General features: G+C 37.8%; 1 pseudogene, besides 1 other annotated feature; it reads left to right on the forward strand.

Moving 5' to 3' along the window:
• GAPDHP31 (glyceraldehyde 3 phosphate dehydrogenase pseudogene 31) lies at window positions 2,493-3,778 on the forward strand (annotated as a pseudogene).
• Window positions 20,171-21,370: an enhancer, noted in NCBI's record as "P300/CBP strongly-dependent group 1 enhancer chr12:7736568-7737767 (GRCh37/hg19 assembly coordinates)". NCBI's record gives its function as "activates an origin of replication core promoter dependent on BRD2, BRD4, P300/CBP, MED14 and CDK7 cofactors, with strong dependence on P300/CBP, by STARR-seq in HCT116 cells {active_cell/tissue: HCT116}" and the evidence as "EXISTENCE:reporter gene assay evidence [ECO:0000049][PMID:35650434]".

Here is a 25,011-nt window from a genome sequence, read left to right on the forward strand (position 1 = left end):
GTGAAAATGGCCATACTGCCCAAGGTAATTTATAGATTCAATGCCATCCCCATCAAGCTACCAATGACTTTCTTCACAGAATTAGAAAAAACTACTTTAAAGTTTATATGGAACCAAAAAAGAGCCCGCATTGCCAAGACAACCCTAAGCCAAAAGAACAAAGCTGGAGGCATCACGCTACCTGACTTCAAACTATACTACAAGGCTACGGTAACCAAAACAGCATGGTACTGGTACCAAAACAGAGATATAGACCAATGGAACAGAACAGAGCCCTCAGAAATAATACCACACGTCTACAACCATCTGATCTTTGACAAACCTGACAAAAACAAGAAATGGGGAAAGCATTCCCTATTTAATAAGTGGTGATGGGAAAACTGGCTAGCCATATGTAGAAAGCTGAAACTGGATCCCTTCCTTACATCTTATACAAAAATTAATTCAAGATGGATTAAAGACTTACATGTTAGACCTAAAGCCATAAAAACCCTAGAAGAAAACCTAGGCAATACCATTCAGGACATAGGCATGGGCAAGGACTTCATGTCTAAAACACCAAAAGCAATGGCAACAAAAGCCAAAATTGACAAATGGGATCTAATTAAACTAAAGAGCTTCTGCACAGCAAAAGAAACTACCATCAGAGTGAACAGGCAACCTACAGAATGGGAGAAAATTTTTACAATCTACCCATCTGACAAAGGGCTAATATCCAGAATCTACAAAGAACTTAAACAAATTTACAAGAAAAAAACAAACAACCCCATCAAAAAGTGGGCAAAGGATATGAACAGACACTTCTCAAAAGAAGACATTTATGCAGCCAACAGACACATGAAAAAATGCTCATCATCACTGGCCATCAGAGAAATGCAAATCAAAACCACAATGAGATATCATCTCACACCAGTTAGAATGGCAATCATTAAAACGTCAAGAAACAACAGATGCTGTACAGGATGTGGAGAAATAGGAACAGTTTTACACTGTTGGTGGGACTGTAAACCAGTTCAACCATTGTGGAAGACAGTGTGGCAATTCCACAAGGATCCAGAACTAGAAATACCATTTGACCCAGCCATCCCATTACTGGGTATATACCCAAAGGATTATAAATCATGCTGCTATAAAGACACATGCACACGTATGTTTATTGTGGCACTATTCACAATAGCAAAGACTTGGAACCAACCCAAATGTCCATCAATGATAGACTGGATTAAGAAAATGTGGCACATATACACCATGGAATACTATGCAGCCATAAAATAAGATGAATTCATGTCCTTTGCAGGGACATGGATGAAGCTGGAAGCTATCATTCTGAGCAAACTATCGCAAGAACAGAAAACCAAACACTACATGTTCTCACTCATAGGTGGGAATTGAACAACAAGAACACTTGGACAGAGGATGGGGAGCATCACACACCGGGGCCTGTTGTGGGGTGGGGGAAGGGGGGAAGGATAGCATTAGGAGAAATACCTACTGTAAATGATGAGTTAATGGGCGCAGCACACCAACGTGGCACATATATACATATGTAACAAACCTGCGCGTTGTGCACATGCACCCTAGAACTTAAAGTATAATTTAAAAAAAAGAAAAAAAGAAATATGTCTCTTTATTAAGAAAAACATAACTTTTATCCAAGCTTATTCTTCTAGGTTAAAAAAAAGGAAACACAACTTCTGTTGGAATCAATTTAAAGAGAATATATGCATCAATGGCAGACTGGAAAAGAAAATGTGGTACATCTACACTGTGGAATACCATGCAGCCATAAAAAGGAATGAGATCATGTCCTTTGCAGGAGCATGGATGAAGCTGGAAGCCATCATCTTCAGCAAACTAACACAGGAACAGAAAACCAAATACTGCATGTTCTCACTCATAAGTGGAAGTTGAACAATGAGAACACGTGGACATAGGGAGGGAAACAACACACACCAGGGCTTGTTGAGGGTTTGTGGGTGAGGGGAGGGAACCTAGAGGATGGGTCAATAGTGCAGAAAACCACCAAGGCACACATATACCAAAGTAACCAACCTGCACATTCTGCACATGTATCTGGGAACTTAAAGTAAAATAATTTTTAGAAAAGATTGGGAGATGGGATATATGAGCTAATAATAGTAGTATATTAAGTTGGGCTCCTATCTCATGTGATAGCATTATAGCCCCAGCAAGTAATTTGTTTCCAGGTTAAATACTTTAAGTGTGTGTCAACAGTAGGTATGTTGTATCTCTGAAAAGAATGATCACCAGCTTTTTAACAATTGTAATTGTAACATTAGCATTTTATACTTTCCTTATTTCATATATAAGGCTTGTGCATGTTTTTTAGTTGTCTTAGCTGAGGGTATCTAGAAGGAACTGGAAAGAACAGATATAAATACCTGACATCTTTGGTCTCAAGATATTAGGACTGTTTATACCACCTAAAATGATAAGCATTTTCAGTGCAACCCCATCAAAATTCCAGCGACCTCCCTGCTTCTCCCATTGGACAAATATCCAATTTTCTTATGCAGCATCAGCCCTCTTCCTGAGACACCAGAGTGAAAGTGAAGGCAGGAGTAAATGGATTTGGCCATATTAGGTGCCTGTTCATGATAGCTGCTTTTAATCCTGGCAAAGTGGATACTGTTACCACCAATGGCCCTTTCATTGACCTCAACTACATGGTCTACATGTTCCATTATGATCCCACCCATGGCAAGTTCCATGGTACCATCAAGGCTGAGAATGGGAAGCTAGTCATCAATGGAAATCCCGTCACTATCTTCCAGGAGTGAGAGCTCACCAAAACCAAATGAGATAATGCTGGTGCTAATTATGTCATGGAGTCCAATGGCATCTTCACTACCTTGGCAAAGGCTGGGGCTCACCTGGAGAGGGGAACCAAAAGGTTCATCATCTCCATCCCCTCTGCAGATGTCCCCATGTTTGTGATGGGCATGAACCATAAGCATGAAAACAAACTCACAGTCATCAGCAATGCCTCCTGTACCACCAACTGCTTAGATCCCCTGGCCAAGGTCATTCATGACAACTTTGGCATCAGGGAGGGACTCATGACCACAGTCCACAGCATCATTGCCACCCAGAAGACTGTGGATGGCCCCTCCAGGAAACTCTGGCATGACAGCCATGGGGCTTTCCAGAACACCATTCCTGCATCTACTGGTGCTGCCAAGTAAATGGGCAATGAGAGGGCAAGGTCATTCCTAAGCTTAATGGGAAGCTCACTGGCATGGTCTTCTGTGTTCCCAGCACCACTGTGTCAGTTGTGGAACTGACCTCTTGTCTGGAGAAACCTGCTAGACAGGTTTCTTCAGACATCAAAAAGGTGGTGAGGCAGGCACCCAAGGACCCCTCAAGGGCATCCTGGGCTATACTGAGCACCAGGTTGTCCCTTTGGAATTTAAAAGCAATACCCGCCCTTCCACCTTTGAAGCTGGGGCTGGCATTGCCGTCAATGACCACTTTGTCAAGCTCATTTCCTGGTATGGCAATGAATTTGCCTACAGTAACAAGGTGATGGACTCATGGTACACATGGCCTCTGAGGAGTAAAATCCCCCAATCACTAACCCCAGGGAGAGCGCAGGAAGAAGAGAGGGACCCTTAGCTGCTGGGGATTCCCTGCTGCACTCAGTCCCCGACCACACAGAATCTTCTCTCCTCACAGTTTCCAGATCCTCTGAAGAAGGAGAGACCTAGGGAGCCCCACCATGTCATTTACCATCAATAAAGTCCCCTGTACTCAGCCAAAAAAAAAAAGATATTTTTCATAGAAATAGAAAAAACCATTCTAAAATTTGTGTGAAACCACAACATACTTCAAGTAATCAAAACAGTGTTGAGGAAAACAAAGTTGAAGGCATCACATTTCTTAATCTCAAATTATATCACAAAAGAGGCATAATGAAGCAGTATGAAAACAGACATAAAAACAGACATATAGGCCAGGCATGATGGCTCATCCAGTAATCCCAGCACTTTGGGAGGCCAAGGTAGGTGGATCACCTGAAGTCAGGAGTTCAAGACCAGCCTGGCCAGCATGGTGAAACCCCATCTCTATCTACTAAAAATACAAAAATTAGCCGGGCATGGTGGCAGGCACCTGTAATCCCAGCTACTCGGGAGGCTGAGTCAGGAGAATCTCTTGAACCTGGGAGGCGGAGGTTGCAGTGAGCCGAGATTGTGCCACTGCACTCCAGCCTGGGTGACAGAGTGAGACACCGTCTCAAAAAAACAACAAACAAACAAAAAAACAAAAACAGAGATACAGAGATATGGACCAATGGAACAGAATAGAGAACCCATAAATAAATCTAAGCATGTACAGTCAATTAATTTTTGACAAAGCCACCAAGAAGACACAATGAGGAACAGATAGTCTCTTCAATACATGGTGTTTGGAAAACCCGATATCCACATGCAAAAAGGATGAAACTGGACCCTTGTCTTACACTGCACACAAAAATAAACTAGAAGGATATTAAAGACCTGAAACATTAAATTCCTAGAGGAAAACAGGAAAATCTCAATATTGGCCTTGACAAGGGTTTTTTTGATATCTCACCAAAAAGAACAGGTAATAAGAATGAAAGAAACAGGTGGAACCATGTCAAACTAAAACGCTCTACACAGCAAAGAAAATGATCAAAACTGACAGCCAATGGATTGGGAGAAAATATCTATGAAGCATATATCAGAAAAAGGGTTGAGATCCAAAATATATAAGGAACTCAAACAATTCTATAGCAAAAGATACAAATAATCCTATTAAAATGTGGGCAAATAACCTGACCAGATATTTCTCCAAAGAAGAAGTAAAAATGGCCAACAAGTGTAGCAAAAGGTGCTCAACATCATGAAACATGAAGGAAATGGAAATAAAAACCACAATGAGCTGTCACCTCACATCTATTAGGATGGCTACTATCAAAAAGACAAGAGATAAAACAGTGTTGGTGAGGATGCGCAGAAAACGGAACACTTGTACGCTGTTGGTGGAAATGTAGATTGGTGCCGCCATTATGGAAAAAAAATCTGGAGGTTTCTAATGGAATTTTTTTAAAAAGCCACCATGTAACCCAGCAATCCCTCTTCTGGGCATATACCCAAGGGAAATGCCATCAGCACCTTGTAAAGACACTGTGCTCTTGTGTTCACCACAGCATTATTCACAGTAGCCAAGAGGTAGAAACAACCTGTCTGTCGATGGAAGAATGGATAAAAAAATTGTAGGACACACACACACACATACACAGAGAGGAATATTCTTCAGCTTTAAAAAAGAAAAAGATCCTGCCACTTTCAAGAATATAGGTGAACCCAGAGGACATCATGCTAAGTGAAAAAAAGCCAAACACAGGAAAAATAAATATACCATGTGAACTCACTTACATGTGGAAGATTATTTTTTAATTACAAAACTCAAATACACAGAAACAGAGAGTAGAAAGATGGTTACCGGGCCACAGGTGACGGTGGGGAAAACGAGGAGATGGAAGTCAAAGGATACAACGTTTCGGTTATGTAGGATAAATAAACCTAGAGCTCTAGTGTGCGGCATGTAGACTGTAGTTAATAATACGGTATTGAATACTGGAAATTTACTAAGATTTTAGGTACTTTAGCCACAAAAAAAAATGAAATATGAGATGACGGATATGTTAATTTGCTTGACTGTACTAATCATTTCACTTGTATATGTATATCAATACTTCATGTTGTAATACTTTAAATATATGAAATTTAAAAATCAGGACTGTCCAGATCTATCCAGTGTTTGAAATTACATTTTCTGTCCCACCAGTTATCAGAAAACTACTAGAATAAAATAATATATCTAAGAACAAATGTCTTAGTTGTGTAAGGGTGACATAATTAGTTTCCTCCCTTTTCTCTGAATAGTATTTCTGTTATTTTTCCTGGTAATTGGAGGTAACATTAACTGAGAATTTGGAGGAGATTGTGAAAATTTTGAATAGTACACCAAAGGGTCAAGATCCACTGCTCAGACCTGTACTTCAGCTCAAATAATGTTAGTTGCTATCATGAAGACAATTAAATTACCTAAAGTTTTGTTATGTGGACTCTAGCTAATTATACGTTCTAGTATTGGGTGGGTGAAATCATGTTTTACACAACAACAATCTTCTATTTTATGATTATGTTTATAATTGTCTCACTAATCTCTCATCCTTTTCCTACTCTCTATTTCTGCCTCAAGAATACAAAGTCTGTACCTATATTTACCTGAAAAAACTGGGAAGCCACCATTCTATTTTCTCTGGTTTTGAAGGAAACCATTATGATACCCTTTTGAAAACTATGATACCAAAATTACTGATAGGTGGTAGAAAATGAACTGAAATATGTCCACATCTTGTATGAATAATGGGAATGAGTTTTAATTTTCAAAATATTCCATAAATTGAACATGTGAAAACCAGACAGTAAGCATTGAATGGCAATGTACTTAAGTCCAGCTGGGCTAAAGTAAAGTAATATCCTCCAGAAATTGGAACTGCATAGGAAGCAGTGCCCATCAAACTGTCCTCCCGCTGTAGATATGAGGAAGTAAACATAAGGAAAACTTGTATGTACATACTTTACCTACTGAAGGAACAAAAACAAAGTCAGCATTATATTTACTAAAAAGTAATAGGTAAGATGAGGACTGTCAACATGAAGGGCAAGCAACACCTGAGGAAAGGAAGGAGGCAGAACAATCGTTAGATATTTTGTCATCCTCAGTAGGTATACAAATGTTGTGACCTTTATGAGACATAAACAAACACACACGGGAAGAGAGCAAGATAATATAAAGAGTAAGAGTTGGAATGGGGGCTTGGTGAAGTTAAAAAGCCTTGTGGAACATTAAAAATGTAATACTATAATTAAAATCTGTATTAGAACAAGCAAAGATAATTGACAGTCCAGAAAAATAAATTTATAACAGGAAGATAAAACTGAGAAACTCCATTAGACTATTGAGGAGTAAGACAGAAATAATCTATAGGGGGCATATATGAATAATACAACCAAAGGAATAGAGCTCTTCCTTAAGTATGAATCACAGTAAATGGGGTAAAACAAATAATCAAGAATTTGATTGGAATAACAAAAGTTTTCTAAAAGGAGAAAGATAAATTAAACATGTAGATTTAAAAGGATCATTGTATTTTGGGAAATAAATAATGAAAAGTGACTCATTCATATTATTTGGCAACATTTTAAGTACACAAGAAAAAATCTGAGGAAAAAATCATAAATTTTAAAAATAGGTAAACTATAATGTAAAGGAACAAAATTATACTGGCCTGAGACTTATTTTCTGCAACAGGTGACAATGAATATAGAGTAATGGATTATTGTAAGAAAATGTTTATGACCCAATAGTTATCAACCAACCCATCTGTCATGTGTGAGGATGGTAGGACATTTTAGATTTGTAATGTTTTAGAAAATGTGCACTTGCACACAGTGTCCAAAATTACTTCAGAAAGACAAAAACATAAGTGACTAAGAAAGATATGGGAAAGCAGAACAGGGAGGAAAGCAACAGGAGTGAAAGAAAATGTGTGTCAGCAGGACGTACCAGGCAAGTCCCTTTGGAATCAGCAAAACAGTGTGAGAGGAAATGCTGAGTTTATTATTTAGGAGAATCTGAGGTTGCATTTTTTCCCTCTTGCCATGTTCTTCTTCCTTCCCCAGCCCTCCTTCCCTGGCTACTGTCTCTAGGGCTAGCAAGGGAAGGAGAAAGTAAGCATGAAGAGGAAGTAAGTTTAGAAGGAATGAAGAAATGTAGTCACTGTGAGGCCTATGACCTTTTCCTAAACAGGGCAAGGAAGTAAATTCTGAAGTACAACAATGAAAATGAGGATTTCAGTGTGTTCAGGAAAGTTCACATGATTCAGAAGGCTATGACTTTGGGTTAAAGGACCATTAATTTTCTGTGTCAGTTTTTGCCTTTGTGACCATGATGTTTAATATTTGTCTGACCTTACTTGAATGCTAGTGATCCTTACACAGACATGGGATAAAAAAGAAATGATAGCTAGAGTTGTATGAGAGACAGATTAAAACTTTCAGGGTCTTTCAAGCCCTGAACACCTTATGGTGCTCTTCCATATAAGTAATTAAAAATAATTAAGCATTCCAATATGAATAAGGAAGTCCAAGAAGATTCTAGATTTAAAATGTGGTACTTACACACAATGGAGTACTATATAGCCATAAAAAGGGAATGAGATCCTGTCATTTGCAATAACATGGATGAAACTGGAGATCATTATGTTAAGTGAAATAAGTCAGGCACAGAAAGACAAACATCACACATTCTTACTTATTTGTGGGATCTGAAAATGAAAACGATCAAACTGATAAACATACACTGTAGAAGGATGGTTATCAGAAGCTGGGAAGGGTAGTGAGGGACTGGGGTGGAGGTGAGGACGGTCAATGGGTAAAAAAATACTTTGAATAAGACATACTGTTTGATAGCAAAACAGGGTGACTATAGTCAATAATAACAGTTGTACATTTTAAAATAACTAAAAGCATGGAATTGATTTGTTTGTAACACAAAGGATAAATGCTTGACGGGGTGGATACCATATTTTCCGTGGTGTACTTATTTCACATTGCATGCCTGCATCAAAACACCTCATGTAACCCATAAATATATACACCTACTATGTACCCATACAAATTAAAAATAAAAACATTTTAAAAGATTCTAGATTATGTCCCAACTACTACTCCTTCAATGGTTTATTGTTATTTAAAATATGAAAAGTTTCCCCGATTGCCTTTGAATGCCATAATTAGACATTCTTTGTCTTTCTATTAGATAAGCTTTCACTGATGTTGTAGCTTCTGGGTCTTATCTTATCAAACACCTGTGTGTGTGTGTGTGTGTGTGTGTGTGTGTGTGTGTGTGTATCCATGTGTCCATCTCTTCCTTGATTCTTACTGGTGTAGCTTCCTATTGGTGTAGCTCCCAACATCTATGGCTACTTCATAACTTTCCTCTCTCTCCAGAATTTCCTTATTCTTTACCCACACTCTCTTATGCTTCCCAGTTGATGTATTCTGCCCTCTTTTGCACCTTTCACCTTCTTCACTTCTCAAACAGGTCATACTCCTGTTATTTTCTTGTGTATCTTGGATTTATTCTATACAGGCTTGTTTACCCCTTACTTCACTCTCTTCGACCTACAAAAATTTGACTTACCAGTGAAGGTAACTTGTTTTCTGCCTCCTTTTCCATATCTATGTCTAAATGAGAGAGATATTAATAAATTGACCTTGTCCTATACTGGTGCTTCTCTGTATCATTCCTGCTTTATTGAAAGTCTCTTAAGATTAAATGAGGCAATATTTATAAAATGCTTACTACGTTCTCTAAGACATATTAGACAAGCATTAAACTGTAATCTTAATTACATTTTAAGAGTGATATTGGAGATATTGAGGAAAATATAAGTGTTATATGCCATTGATACTCTCCTAGTTTTGTTTTATATACCCTTTATACACTGTATATAAAACAGGATTTATGGTCAAACTACAAAAAAGAATAATGCTGAATTCACAGAGAAATGATTCAAAACTAACTTTTGCAACATCAATAATTAAAAAGTATACATCCTGAAAATTTAAGAAATTTACCTATTTTACTTCCTTTCTTACCTCCTCACCCTATTGCATTTTTGGTTTCTAAAATAAAGATCTCTGAATCACACTGTTATTATTATTGCTGTTATAATCACTAATTTTCTCTAGGTTTTCAATTTCTTTCTTAAGGATTAGTTATTACATTCATACTGTTTTGTAAGTTTGTTAGGTTAATTAATTTAGATTTAACGCCCATGCTTAACTGGTTTTATTGTACACCTTCAAACCTTGGATAATTTTTTTCTAGATTTGTATGCTTCTTTTTTACTTTAGTATTTGGTTGACCCAAGTATACCTTTCAGTTCAGTTTTTAATTATTCAGCTTTTACACAACAATACTTATACTTTATATAAAATCATCATGTTCTCTTACTCATATATCAAATATATTTTTATATGTAAATCAATAATTGAAAGTATTTCATGATTATACATCCTAGTAAGTACCACAGTCAATGCCACTAGCTTCAGATATATACCTTTGTTGCTACATTTATTTAAATATTTTTCAGCAATTTTCTTTTATTACATTTACATGAGTCCAAACAGAAAAAAAATTGATGATACTGTCAATGTGTATAGGTCTCATAAAATTACAGTTAAGACAACACACACATTAATTGTGCCGAAAATGATAAATCTGTAGCTTCAACTGGATATTCATTGCTATTAAACCACTTGGATCTGTGTTTAAGTGTGAAGGAAAATAATTAATATAAAGGTATTGCTTCACCCACTTCCCGTTTCCTTCTTTGGGATCTCTCCTTGACTAGGAGCACTGGCAACCTTCTTGCAACCATGAGAACTTGGCAGAGACACAAGTAAAGTGCCATGACATCACTGAGTCACTACATAATTCTTGACTTTCTCACTTCTAAAGTTCCTCCTGTTATACGTAAAAGTTAAATCTCCTCATTACTTTAAAAACAAAAAAAGATTGAGAGAGAGAGGACTGGGTGCGGTGGCTCACACCTGTAATCTCAACACTTTGGGAGGCTGAGGCAGGAGGATCACGAGGTCAGGAGATTGAGACCATCCTGGCTAACACGGTGAAACCCCATCTCTACTAAAAATACAAAAATTAGCCGTGCTTGGTGGCACACACCTGTAGTCCCAGCTACTCAGGAAGCTGAGGCAGGACAATCGCTTGAACCCGGGAGGCAGAGGTTGCAGTGAGCCGAGATCACACCATTGCACTCCAGCCTGGGCGACAGAGTGAAGGGCGAGGCTCCGTCTAAAAAAAGAGAGAGAGAGAGAAAAAGAGAGAGAGAGACCATAACTATAGAGGATCCACAAAAATATAGACCACATTGCTTCCATTTCCTCAGTATCTAGCAATAGTAGGTAGCAAACAATTATAGAATGAATCATACAAAATGTTTAATGTAAGTTATAAAAACTATGTCAAACAGGTAAGATATAAGTATGAATTCTTTCATGACCTATAACATGTAAATTGTACATCAGAATTTCATATTTATTTTTCAAAAATACATTGTGTGAGACTTCCACTTTCCGGTCTAATATGTAAAAGGTTGAGAAATCATGACTCCGGTCCTCAGAACAAGAAAAAATCTGACAAACATCTCTTCTTAGAGCCATCAGAGGATTGAGGTCACAGGAAAAATTGCTGCCCTAAAACTAGAGACTGGAGGGCAAACACTGAGAATCACAACTTACCAGGAGCAGAAAAGTCCAGAGCAAAACTAGCAGCTGGAGCCAATATTGGTAGAAATACTTTAAACTGTAATTGATGAAATGCTGGAAGCTCAGTGTAGATTCACTTGACAGTTAAGACGTCTGAGGAAGTCAGTCTTGACGGTGGGGGTTGGGGGGATGAGTGGGGATTGGCAGGGGGTGAGGGAATGCTTTCTTGAGTTTTAGGTTCTCATGCTCAGGACCAGAGAAAAACCCTGCTATGCATCCAGTAGCGGGAGGAGAACAGTAAGCATTTTGAAATAGGCACTGAGCTCTCTGTTCTCCTTAAGGTCTGCTCTTCAAGGGAAACAATTTTACCACACAACTCCAGCCCTATCTAGCCCTTGATGTGTGGGAAGAGAAATACCAACTCAAGCTCATTAAAAGACTAAGACCATCTATAAAATTATTTCCCTTCCCTGACACCTTACCATCACATCAATAGGGCTCCTCTATAAACATTGTGAATTACAGCTAAAAAATGCTACAAGGCTCACATCCTATTTGGAGAGTCTCTAAGAAAATCTAAAGAAAATAAGGAGTCAATAATATGGCCATAAAGAGAAAAATCTTAGCTCTGACACTACATTACAACACATGGTAAACAGGCTAATTCCTAGCCAGAAAAATGTGAATCTTCACATTTAAGGCCTATTTACTTCAGTTCCTTTTACTTGCTGCATTATGTCCAGCTTTCAACAGCAACAAGAAAAGTATAAGGCATGATGAAAGGCAAAAGCACTCTAAGAGACAAAACAGGCATCAAACCAGACTTAGCTATGACACAAATTTTGGAATTATTCGACTGAGAATTTAAAATAATGATAAATAATATGCTGAGGGCTATAATGAAAAAGTAAATAATATGCAAGAAAAGATGGGTAATGTAAAAATAGAGATGGAGACTTTAAGAAAAAATTTAAAAGAACAATTAAAATTCAAAAACACTGTAACAGAAATGAAGAATGCCTTTGATGAACTCATTGGTAGACTAGACATGGCCAAGGAAAGAATCATTAAGCTTGAAGATATGTCAGTAGAAACTTTGAAAACAGAAATGCAAAGAGATAAAATAATAAAACGGATAAAACAAAAATCAATTATAAATTTAATCCAATCCCAAATGTCATCCTAGGTAAGTTGTTTTGTAGATATTGACTAACTGACTGTAAAGTTTATATGAAAAGGCAGAAAAACCAGAGTAGCCAACACAATATCAAAGAAGAAGGACAAAGTTGGAGGACAGACATTACTCAACTTCCAGACCTACTACAAAGCTACAGTAAATAATACTATGTGATATTAATTATTTAGAGTGAATTTTTGAGTATGTAATATATAGAGATGTAATATGCACAAAAATAATAAACCTCAAAATGGTGGAAAGACTGAATCTTTATAGGAGTAAATTGTCTGTATTTCACTGAAATTAAGTTAGGATAAATCAGAAGTGGATTTTGATAAATTAATAAACACATTGTAAGTCATAGAACAATTATTTTAAAAATAACTCAAATTATTTTCAAAATATTAAGGGACTTATACTAGAAAATATCCAGTAATACAAAAAAGCAGTAAAGAAGAAGCAAAGAAACAAAAAAAAAGTAGGATATATATGTAAAACAAAACACAAAAAAGCAGATGGAAATCTAACCACGTTAATAATAACATTAAATGGGAATGAATTAATCAATTTAATCAAAATGTAGAGATGGTCAGTTAAAATTTTAAAAAGCAAGACCCAAGTGTATGGTGTCTACAGGAGACCTACTTTAAATTCAAAGATGCAAAGAGATTGAAAATAAAAAGATAGAAAAGGAGATTCCAGGAAGACATCAACCATAAAAGAGCTCACATGTCTACAATAAGACAAAACAGATTTTCAAACAAAAAACAATTTTTACATAGAAAAATATATATCTCATAGTGACACAAGAGTCAACTGATTAAGAAAATATAACAATTCAAGCATGTATACACCTAACAACATTTCAAAATATAGCAAAAATTGACAAATACAAAGACAGAAATAAACATTCAATAATTTCATTATCCTGTATGCAATAATAAACAGAACAACTAAGTAGAAAAGTAAAGAAAAATGGAAGACTTAGCCAAGTGAATCAACTAGTCTTAACAGGTATCTATATAACACACCATTCAACAACAGCAAACTGCATATTCTGCTCAACAAAAACTTGTATGCATGTTCATAGTAGCATTATTCAGAAAATCAAACAAGTGAAAACAACCTATATTTCAATAACTAGTAAATGAATGAATAAAATGATGTATATACAATATTCAGCTAAATAAATGAAATATGGACAACTGCTACATGATATGACTGCATTTATATGAATGCACAGAGTTGGCAAGTCTATGGAGAATAAAAGTAAACTGGAGTTTTCATAGGGCTAGGGTAGAGGAGGTAATTCAAAATGATTGCAAAAGGAAATGGAATTTTTTAGAGGATGAAGAAAAGTTCTAAAATTATTTTGAGGTTATCATTGAATGACTGTGAATATACTAAAAATATTGAATTGTACACTTTAAATGAGTAAATAAATTTAATACACCATTTGCCAAGTGACCTTCCGCCTCTTGCTTTTAAAGTTTTGTTACCCACCACCTACAAAAGGCTTCTCTAATTCTCATTCTGAATAATTGTTTATTTCTTGGCTAGTACACCACATTGAATTTTGTATATCAAATTTTTAAGTTACTACACCTGGATGCTATAAGCCATAATGAAAGAGGAAATTTTCACATTTATTTTATATACTTTTTCAATGTAAATGCTTTATGATACATTTTAATTATATTTGTAGAAATCTGACTGCTCAAAAAGACAAAAGAGGATCAGACATAAAATAAATAATTGATGTCATCCACCAATAAAGAATAAGTAACACTGGGTCATGGTGCATGTTCTTCTTAATGTGCTGTTGCATTCAATTTGCTAGTATTTTGTTCAGAATTTTTGCATTCATGTTCATCAGGAGTATTGAGTTGTAGTTCCCTTTTCTTGCAGTGTCTTTGGCTTTGGTATCAGGGTTAAATGGGTAAAGTTTGTGTTATGTGAATTACATCTCAATAAAACTGTTTAAAAACAAAATGAATAAAAAATGAAAATATGAAAGGGACCACCACCCTTTTATTTTTAAAACCTTTAATGGTCACATTAATATCTGAAATTCTCCCCAGAAAGGTGAAATTACATCTGATTAGCTATCTCTGAGAGTGGGGTGCTGAGCGACAGATGTAGATTAATGGTTTTCACTTAACTTTTTCTTCCATAACTGCTCTTATTCCACAGGTCATTAAACCTATGTGAGAGTTCTGCCAGAAACTAAGTTCATTCAAAGAAATATTGGAAGAATATTTACTACATATACTTATATTTATTTTTTTTAAACTGTCAGAAATTTAGGACTACATGTGGTCTTTTATCACATGAATGAATTGTATAGTGGTGAACTCTAGGATTTTAGTGCCCCAATCACCTGAGTAGTGTACATTGTTCCCAATAGTTAGTTTTTCATCCCTCACCCCCTTCCCAACCTACCCTGTTCTGTGTCTCCAATGTTTATTATGCCACTCTGTATGCCTTTGCATATCCATGGCTTAGCTCCCACATGTAAGCAAGAAAATGTGGTATGTGGTTTTTGATTCCCAAGTAACTTCAATTAGTGTAATGGTCTCCAGCTGCATCCAAATTGCTGCAAAATACATTATTTTATTCTTTTTTATGGCTGAGCAGTGTTCCATTGTATTAGTTTGTTTTCACACTGCTGATAAAGACATACCTAAGACTGGTAATTTATAAAGAAAAAGAGGTTTAATGGACTCACAGTTTCACATGGCTGGGGAGGCCTCACAATCATGGCAGAAAGCAAAAGGCACATCTTACAAGGTGGCAAGCAAGAAAGAACAAGAGCCATGCAAAAGGGGAAACCCCTTATAAAATCATCAGGTCTTGTGAAACTTATTCACTACCATGAGAACAGTATGGGGAAACCACCCCCATGATTCAATTATCTCCCACCAGGTCCCCCAATAAAACATAGGAAATATGGGAGCTACAATTCAAGATGAGATTTGGGTGGGGACATAGCCAAACCATATCATCTATAGCAGATGTATACCAGACTGTTTAATTTCTACATATTTGTATAGTTTTAGGGGTTTCTTCTGGAATTGATTTCTAGGTTTATTTTCCACCATGATCTGAGAAGATACTTAATATGACTTTGATTTTTAAAAATGTATTGAGACTTGTTTTATGGTCTATTATATGGCCTATCTTGGAGAATGTTCCATGTGCTGATGAGAATAATGAATATTCTGCAGTCGTTGAGTAGAATGTTCTGTAAATATCTGTTAGGCCCATTTGTTTTAGGCTCATTTGTTCTAGAGTGCAGCTTAAATCCAGTCTTTCTTTGTAGACTTTCTGCCTTGATGATCTGTCTAGTGCTGTCAATAGAGTGTTGAATTCCCTCATTATTATTTTGTTGTTTTCTATCTCTTTTCTTAGTTCTAGTAGTAATTGCTTTATGAATCTTAAAGCTATAGAGTTCGGTTCATATATATTTATAATTGTTATATATTTTTGTTGAATTAATCATTTTATCATTATATAATGTTGCAAGAAGTCAGGGACCCTGAACGGAGGGACTGGCTGGAGCCAAGGCAGAAGAACATAAATTGTGAAGATTTCATGGACACTTATCAGTTCCCAAAATTAATACTTTTATAATTTCTTACGCCTGTCTTTACTTCAATCTCTGAACATAAATTGTGAAGATTTCATGGACATTTACCACTTCCCTAATAATATTCTTATAATTTCTTATTCCTATCTTTACTTTAATCTCTTAATCCTGTTATCTTCATAAGCTGAGAATGTACATCACCTCAGGACCACTATTGTGCAAATTAATTGTAAAACATGTGTGTTTGAACAATATGAAATCAGCGCACCCTGAAAAAGAACAGAATAACAGCGATTTTCAGGGAACAAGGGAAGATAACCATAAGGTCTGACTGCCTGTGGGCTTGGGCAGGATAGAGCCATATTTTTCTTCTCACAGAAAGCCTATAGACGGATGTGCAGGTAGGAGAAGTATCACTCATCTCTGGGATTGGAGCAAGAGTGGACTGCCGGGCATGGTGGCTCACACTTGTAATCCCAGCACTTTGGGAGGCCAAGGCGGGCAGATCATGAGGTCAGGAGATCGAGACCATCCTGGATAACACAGTGAAACCCTGTCTCTACTAAAAATACAAAAAATTAGCCAGGCGTGGTGGCGGGCGCCTGTAGTCCCAGCTACTCAGTAGGTGGAGGCAGGAGAATGGCGTGAACCCAGGAGGTGGAGCTTGCAGTGAGCCGAGATCATGCCACTGCACTCCAGCCTGGGTGGCAGAGTGAGACTCCATCTCAAAAAAAAAAAAAAAAGAGTGGACTGTGCCTCAAACTTTCTGGCTTATCTAGGGGTTTCCCAAGGATTAGTTCCTATTTCACCTAAGAGCACAGACAGGAACAACAGCAGAGTTTGGAAGCTGCTGAACACAGGACAGCAACATTTTAGAACTGCAGTTCTATAAGCAGACACCAGAGTGAACAGAGATCAGAAAAGATTAGAGAGGTCCTAGAACCTCCAGCTGGGGTGATTGGTGAAAATTGTCCTTTGCAAAAATCTAGTACACAATGACTGAAAGAGATAGCTGTTTTTACAAATACCCAAATCCTAGGGGAAAAAATGTATAATACAAAGAAGAGAGAAATATGGCCCTGTGATATCATAAAATATGTTTGGTCTTTGACCTTATTTCGTGACACACAATATTTTAAATCCTTACAATTTCCAAAGTGATGTATTTTTGTGTGGTAATCATTGACTGATGGCTGGCAGCCCCTAGGTAGCTGCAGGATGGGACAGGTTATCAGAAAGATCAAGGCAGGATTAGAAGGTTGTGTCTTTTAGTCCTACCCCCAACCTCTGGGGATAGGAGAAAGGCTGAAGGTTAGGTTCATCACTACTGGCCAAGGTTTAATCAGTCATGTTTACCTAACGAAGCCTCCACGGAAACCTCAAAAGACAGAGTTTGGAGAGCTTTCAAAAAGCTGAACATGTGGAGGCTTATAGGAAGGTGAACAAAAACTCATCCATGTGTCAGGAGGTAGAGCACTCCAGTTCCACAGGGGCAGAAGCTCTTGCACTAAGGATCCTTCCAGACTTCACCCAATGTATCTTTTAATCTGGATGTTTATTCATCTCTTTAAAAATATCCTTTGTAAAAAACTGATAAATGTAAGTAAGTGTTTCCCCTGAGTTCTGTCAGCAGCTCTAGCAAATTAACTGAACTCAAGGGTTGGGGGGTGGTCTTGAGAACGTTGATTTATCACTGGTTGATCAGATGTTCTGGAGGCCCAAACTTGCAACTCATATCTGAAATTGGAAGGAGCAGTCTTGGACACTTAGCCTCAACATGTGGAATCTGACACTAGTTTTAGGTAGATAACATCAGAATTAAATTGGAGGACACTGAGTGGGTGTCTGCTGCACAATTGATTGCTTGCTAGTTGGTGGGGAAAACCCCTCCCACATTTGGTCACAGAAGTCTTCTGTGTTGATCACTGTGGTGTGAAAGCAGAAGAAAAACACAGTTTGAGGTTTCATTTTTATTTTTTGTTTTTTTTACACACAATTGGTGTCAGAAGTGGGAATTGCTAGAATGGCCCTGGCTCATGAAAAGAATGGGAGGGTAGAAGATGACTTAAGGTAAAAGTTACCAGTGGAATTTAGAGATAAATCCAACTCACAGGGAGTTGGTTCACTAGACACATAAAGAAATGCAAACAAATAAGAAAAAAGCAAAATATCCAATCATTTGGTTATTGTTATCTATAACAGCTAACATGAAATGAAATGATATGCTGGGTTTGACCTTGATGCTACATCAAGTTTAGATTTCAGTGAGTTTGAGCTTCATCACTAGCCTCAAAGCTGCCCCATGTGGGCAAAATATTTGGGGGACAACACAACTTGAGATCTGTGGTTACTATGAAGTTTATCAATGTGGGAGAAGAAAACAACCAAGAAACTATTAAAACTATTGATCTTATCAGCTCCCTGAGGAACTTTTACTAAAATGCATTGTAAGGGTAACTTGTATAGGAGAAGTGTCTTTCATTTTAAATGCAGAGTGGGAGAACATGTTTGGGTTGATGCAGGACCCACAGCTCACTATTGAACAATCACAGATGGCTATATGTGATCTTGACATACAAAAGGTTATTCTCAAGGGAACAGCCAGCCTGGTGGACTAGACAAAACCACTATAAGGTCTGCTTACCCTGAGAAGGGAGACTGTTCAACTCCATCTATAAATGTCAAGTGGAACAGCCCAGATGAAGCAGCTTCATATGCAATCCATGTGGGACTGTCTTTATGAGAACCGGAACTGAGACATTCACATTCTACATGCCCATTACCCAGGTCATGTTTTTAAAAAGGGTGGGGGGGAGTGTCCTTTCTGCATGGGCATTAATGTAAATGTACCACTGCAAAATCAAGTTACAGTCAGAGAAACCTTATCAAATTTGCTATCTCAGCTTCTTCTCATGAGTCTGACAAATGCTAATAAAAATAATAGATTAACAAAAGATTGGTGAAGAGTAGAGTTTAAAGACTCATCGCAGGAAAGTGGAAATGTTTAAATGGTTATTAAGAAATAGGGGAATTTTAAAAACCTTGGTGAGATGAAACTGAGAGGAAAACGAAAAGCAAAAATGATGGGACTCATCTCAGCAGAGTGGGAATCTTTAGATAGCTATTAAGAAATAAAATGAGGGACTTTATCAAAGATGGCTGACTAGATGCAGCTGGGAAGTGCTGTCCTCACAGAGAGAAACCAAAATTTTGACTACACCAACATAATTTGAACAGATCTGTGATGAGAAAACACCAAATGTGGATGGGGAAAAGACACAGTTGCTGAGTCGGAAGAGGGGGAAAGCTGGGAATCCCATGTGGAGTGCCCAAATGCTGTGGCTGGTTTCTAAACAGGACCTGTCAAAGGGGTGAGTAAATAAAGGGGCTGGAGGACTGCTCACTCTTGCTGTGGACCTCTAGGATCCTACCTTCAGGTGACTTCACTCTACCATGGACATGGCAGCTGGCAGGAGAATCTCCCCAGAGATTACACAGAGAGAGATGAAGCAGGCATAGATCCTGGGAACTTTGACCATGCATCAGCTCCAAGGGAGCCCGGCCATAAGCACTCACCCCGCAGGGCTGCCTGTCTCCCTCCCTTTGAGAGGCCCTGGCCCCAGCTAACTGCTAGAGGAAAAGCAGGGACTGCTTCTCTGCGGAACTGGGGCACATCTATCCTGCAGGCCTACTTGCCCACTTGCCTGGCTGTCCTGTAGGAGTGTGTACACAGTACAGCCTCTGCTGCCCAGCCTGAGTGCTTTGCTCCACCTAAGTGCATTCTTTCAGCCTAGGAGCGCTTCAGCTCCCACAACGCGGCAGAACCCACCCCCCAGCATCTGGAGGAGGGAGCACCATCAAGTCCTGGTATCCCAGAACAGCAGCCTGCAGCTCAGTAATGCCAAGCTGGGATCTGTGGTCAGCACTTAAACAGGGGAGAAGCCCAGACTCTCAGAAAACTGTGAAGGCTGAGTTTAACATGTTTATGGGCTGGCATGGGACCTAGCTGTGTCTCCCTCCACAGGGCTGGTCTAGTAAAGGTGTGGCCTATTTCCTGATCAGACCTCTCCCCAAGGGAGCCCCATGGCCAGAATGACCTATCAACTGTAGCATATAATAAATTCCTCTTCAAATGTTTTAGCCTGTCAATTGTTAAGTACAATTAGTTCTGAGATCCTCTCCAAAGAACCAATGTATCAGTATGTTCAGCTCCCCTGTTCTTTGATCCGCATTTTAAAGTTTAAGTTCCTCATTCTCTTCATCTCCTTGCCCCTAGTTTCAGTAAACAACACCCTCCTATCCTCTATCACCTGCTGCATCCTGAGTCACCTCTGGTCACCTGCTCCATCCTAAGTCACCCCTGGTCACCTGCTCCATCCTGAGTCACCCCTGGTCACCTGCTCCATCCTGAGTCACCCCTGGTCACCTGCTCTGACCTGAGTCATCCTGAGTCACCTGTTCTGTAAGCATCCTTCTTGCCAAACTACTCACTCTGCCACTCTGGCTCATACCCCTGCTCTCTTTAAAATAGCCATTCAGAATTAGCTTAGACTGTGCAGTCCAACCCTAGCCAATAGGGAACAATGAAGCAGTAGGGGCTACCTGCATCAGGGATAAGAACCCCTTCCCCTCCCTTGTTCAATATGATCATCACCATGGGACCTAGTAAACAGATTCTCCAAGGTCAATGCAAAAAAAAAATATCTTAAAGACAGCTAGAGAGAAGGGCCAGGTTACTTAAGAGGAAACTTCATCAAGCAGCAGCAGACTTCTCAGGAGAAACCTTACACATCAGAAGAGATTGGGGACAGACTTTCAACATCATTGAAGTAAAGAAATTTGAACAAAAACGTTTATATCCTGCCTAGCCGAGATTCATAATTAAAGGAGAAATAAAATCCTTCTCAGACAAGTAAGTGCTGAGGGAATACATTTCAATAGGACCAGCCTTAGAGGAGGTTCTTAAGAAAGTGCTAAACATAGATTTGAAAGAATAACACCTACTACCATAATAGCACACTTAAGCACATAACCCACAGGCACTATAAAGCAATTACACAATGAAGTCTACATAACGACCAGCTAACAATATGATGACAGGATCAAAATCACACATTTCAATAGTAACTTTAAATATAAGTGAGGTAAATGACCCATTTAAAAGACCCAGAGTGGCAGACTGGATAAAAAGACATGACCCAACCATCTGTTGTCTTCAAGAGACCCATCTCACATGTAACAATACCCACAGTTTAAAAGTAAAAGGGTGGATTTAGATCTACCATGCAAACAGAAGACAAAAAAAAAGGGCAGGGGTTTCTATTTTTATATCAGATAAAACAGACCTTAAACCAACAAAAATCAAGAAGAACAATAAAGAGCAATACATAATGATAAAGGGTACAATCCAACAAGAAGCCCTAACTATACTAAATATATACGTGCCCAACTCTGGAGTATACATATTCATAAAACAACTTTTTGGCCTATGAAAACACATAAGACAACTACACAATAATGGTGGGAGACTTCAACACCCCCCTTACAGTGTTAGATCATCAAGGCAAAAAAATAACAAGGAAAATCTGGACTTAAAATCGATACTTGTTAAATTGGACCTAATAGACATCTACAGAATACTCCACCCAACAACACAGAATGTACATTCCCCTTATCTGCAAATGGAACAAATTCTAAGATCAACCACACTTGATTGGTCATAAAGCAAGCCTCAATACATTAAAAAAAATTGAATTCATACCAAGCAAAATATCAGAAAACAGTGCAATAAAAATAGAAATTAATACCAAGAAGATCTCTCAAAAATACACAAATGCATGGAAGTTAAACAACTTACACCTGAATAACTACTAGGTGAACATCAAAATTAAGGCAGAAATTTTTTAAATTCTTTGAAATTATTGAAAATAGGGACAAAACTTACCAAAATCTCTGGGATGCAGCCAAAACAGTGTTAAGAGGAAAGTTAATGGACCTACATGCCTTAATAAAGTAGCTAGAAAGGTTTCAAAGCAACAATCTAACTTCACACATAAAGTCCTAGGAAAAGAAAAACAAACCAACTCCAAACTAGAAGAAAAGAAATAACTAAAATTAAAGAAGAATTTAATGAAATTGAGATACAAAAATTTATACAAAAAGAATCAATGAAACCAAGAGCTGTTTCTTCAAAAAAATTAGATGAAATGAAATTGATAGACCCCCTAGCTGGATTAACAACAACAACAACAAGAAAGAAGATCCAGATAAGCACAATCAGAAACAAAAAATGTGATATTACCATTGATCCCACAAAAGATCGTCAAAGATTATTATGAACAACTCTGTGAAACAAAATACAAAATCTAGAGGAAATAAATTCCTGGAAGTGTACAATCTCCCAAGATTGAATCAAGAAGAGGCTAAAACCCTAAATAGACCAATATCAACTTCTAAAATTGAATTAGTAATAACCTATTAACAACAGTAAAAAAGTCTTGAGCAGATGGATTCACAAATTCTACTAGACATACAAACAAGAACTGATACTTAACCTACTGAAACTATTCCAAAAAATTGAGGAGGAGGTGCTTCTCACTAACTCATTCTATGAAGCCAGCATTAGCCTGAAACCAAAGTCTAGCAGAGACAAAACAAAGAAACTTCAGACCAATATCCCTCATGAATATAGATGCAAAACTCTTCAACAAAAGACTAGCAAATTGAATCCAGAAGCACACCAAAAAGTTAATACACCACAGTCAAGAAGGCTTTATACTTAGGATGCATAGCTCATTTAACATATGCAAATCAATAAACACGTTTGATTCTCACATAAACAGAATCAAAAGCAAAAACCATATCATCATATTAATAAATGCAGAAAAATTCTCAATAAAATCCAACATCCCTTTATAACAAAACTCTCAAAAGACTAGGCATAGAAGAAACATACCCCAAAATAATAAGAGCTATCTATGACAAGCCCACAGCCAACATTATACTAATTGGGCAAAAGGTGGAACCATTGCCCTTGAGAACTAGAACAAGACAAGGATGCCCATTCTTGCCAGTTGCATTAAACATAGTATTGGAAGTCTTAGCCAGAGCAATCAGACAAGAGAAAGAAATAAAAAGGCTTCCAAATAGGAAAAAAAAAGTCAAACTATCTCTATTCACTGGCAATATAATTCTATACTTGGGAAAATCATAAAGATTCTGCCAAAAGGCTCCTAGAATTGATAGAAAACTTCAGTAAAGTTTCAGGATTAAAAAAAATCAATGTAGAAAAATCAGGAGCATGTCTATACACCAACAACATCCAGGCTGAGAATCTAATCAAGAATACAATCCTACTTACAATAATCACAAAGAAAATGACACACCTAGGAATATAGCTAACCAAGGATGTGAAAGATCTCTCCAAGGATAACCACAAGACACTGCAGAAAAAATCAGAGATGACACAAATAAATGGAAAAATGTTCCATGCTTATGGATTGGAAGAATAAATACTGTAAACATGGCCATATTTGCCCAAAACAATGTACAGATTCAAGATATTCCTATCAAGCTAACAACATCACTCTTCACAGAATTACAAAATACTAATCTAAAACTCATATTGAATCAAAAACCGAATAGCCAAAGCAATCCTAAGCAAAAGGAACAATGCCAGAGGCATTAAACTATCCAACTTAAAAATATACTATAAAGCCACAGTAACCAAAACAGCTTGGCACAAAACAGGTACCAAAAAAAAGTACAAAAACAGACAAATATACCAATGGAACAGAATAGAAAACTCAGAAGTAAAGCTACACACCTACAACCACCTGACCTTTGAACAGGCTGACAAAAACAAGTATTAGAGAAAGGACTCCCTATTCAATAAATGGTACTGGAATAACTGGCTAGCCATATGCAGAGGATTGAAGCTGGGCCCCTCCCTTTTACTACAAGCAAAATTAACTCAAAATGAACTAAAGATTTAAATGTAAGACCTCAACCTATAAAAATTTTGGAAGACAACCTAGGAAATACTCTTATCAACATCAGCCATGGCAAAGAATTTTTGGCTAAGTCGCTAAAACCAATTGCAACAAAAACAAAAATAGACAAGTGAGACATGATTAAACTAAAGAGCTTCTGCACAGCAAAAGAAATGATCAACATAGTGTGAAAAAAACATTTTAATGGTCCATCATTATGGTATGATACACCTAAGTACTGGTAACCAGCCTGTAGACATGACAAACCACATGCCTCATGCACCTAAAAAGTCACGATAAGTGAACAGAATGTAGACGAGGGGTGAGCTCATAAAAGAGAATAAAGTTTTGTTATTGGGAAATTGAAACTTAAGCAAGAAAAGGGACTGGGGTATGACCCTTTAAGGGGATAATGGAACTTGGGTGACATCTGGGAAGATTGTAACCCCATAGTACTCAACCAATGAGGAACTGGGGGAGGGACTTGTGTGCTAGGAAATGAATTGCATGCTGTAACTGCCCCAGGTGTGTCTGCCTACCAGACACCCAATCTTGCAAGACTGCCACTAAAAGTCTCACTTCTGCTGTTCTTTGTGTCTCTGAGTCCATTCTTTGGGGTTGGACAGGTGAATGTGTTTCTCACAAGCTTGGGGGCTCATCTGTGCCTGCATGAGGTGGGACTCTGGCTGAGACGGGAGATGTGTCCCACCCAATTTTAGGTGGCCCACTCTGAGCATTTTGGCTCCCCACAGAGGCCATAGACAAATTCAAGACTATTATTCAGGAGGCAGCAAAGGTGACACAGGGAGAAAAAGCAGGCACCATGGCAACCAGTCAACTTGTGCATGAGCCAAGGTAGGAAAATTGGACTGTAAGTACTGCCTTGGTGGTTGGGCATTTTTGGAG

Source organism: Homo sapiens, chromosome 12 (genome assembly GCF_000001405.40).
Source record: "Homo sapiens chromosome 12, GRCh38.p14 Primary Assembly".
NCBI classification, from domain to species: Eukaryota; Metazoa; Chordata; class Mammalia; order Primates; family Hominidae; genus Homo; species Homo sapiens.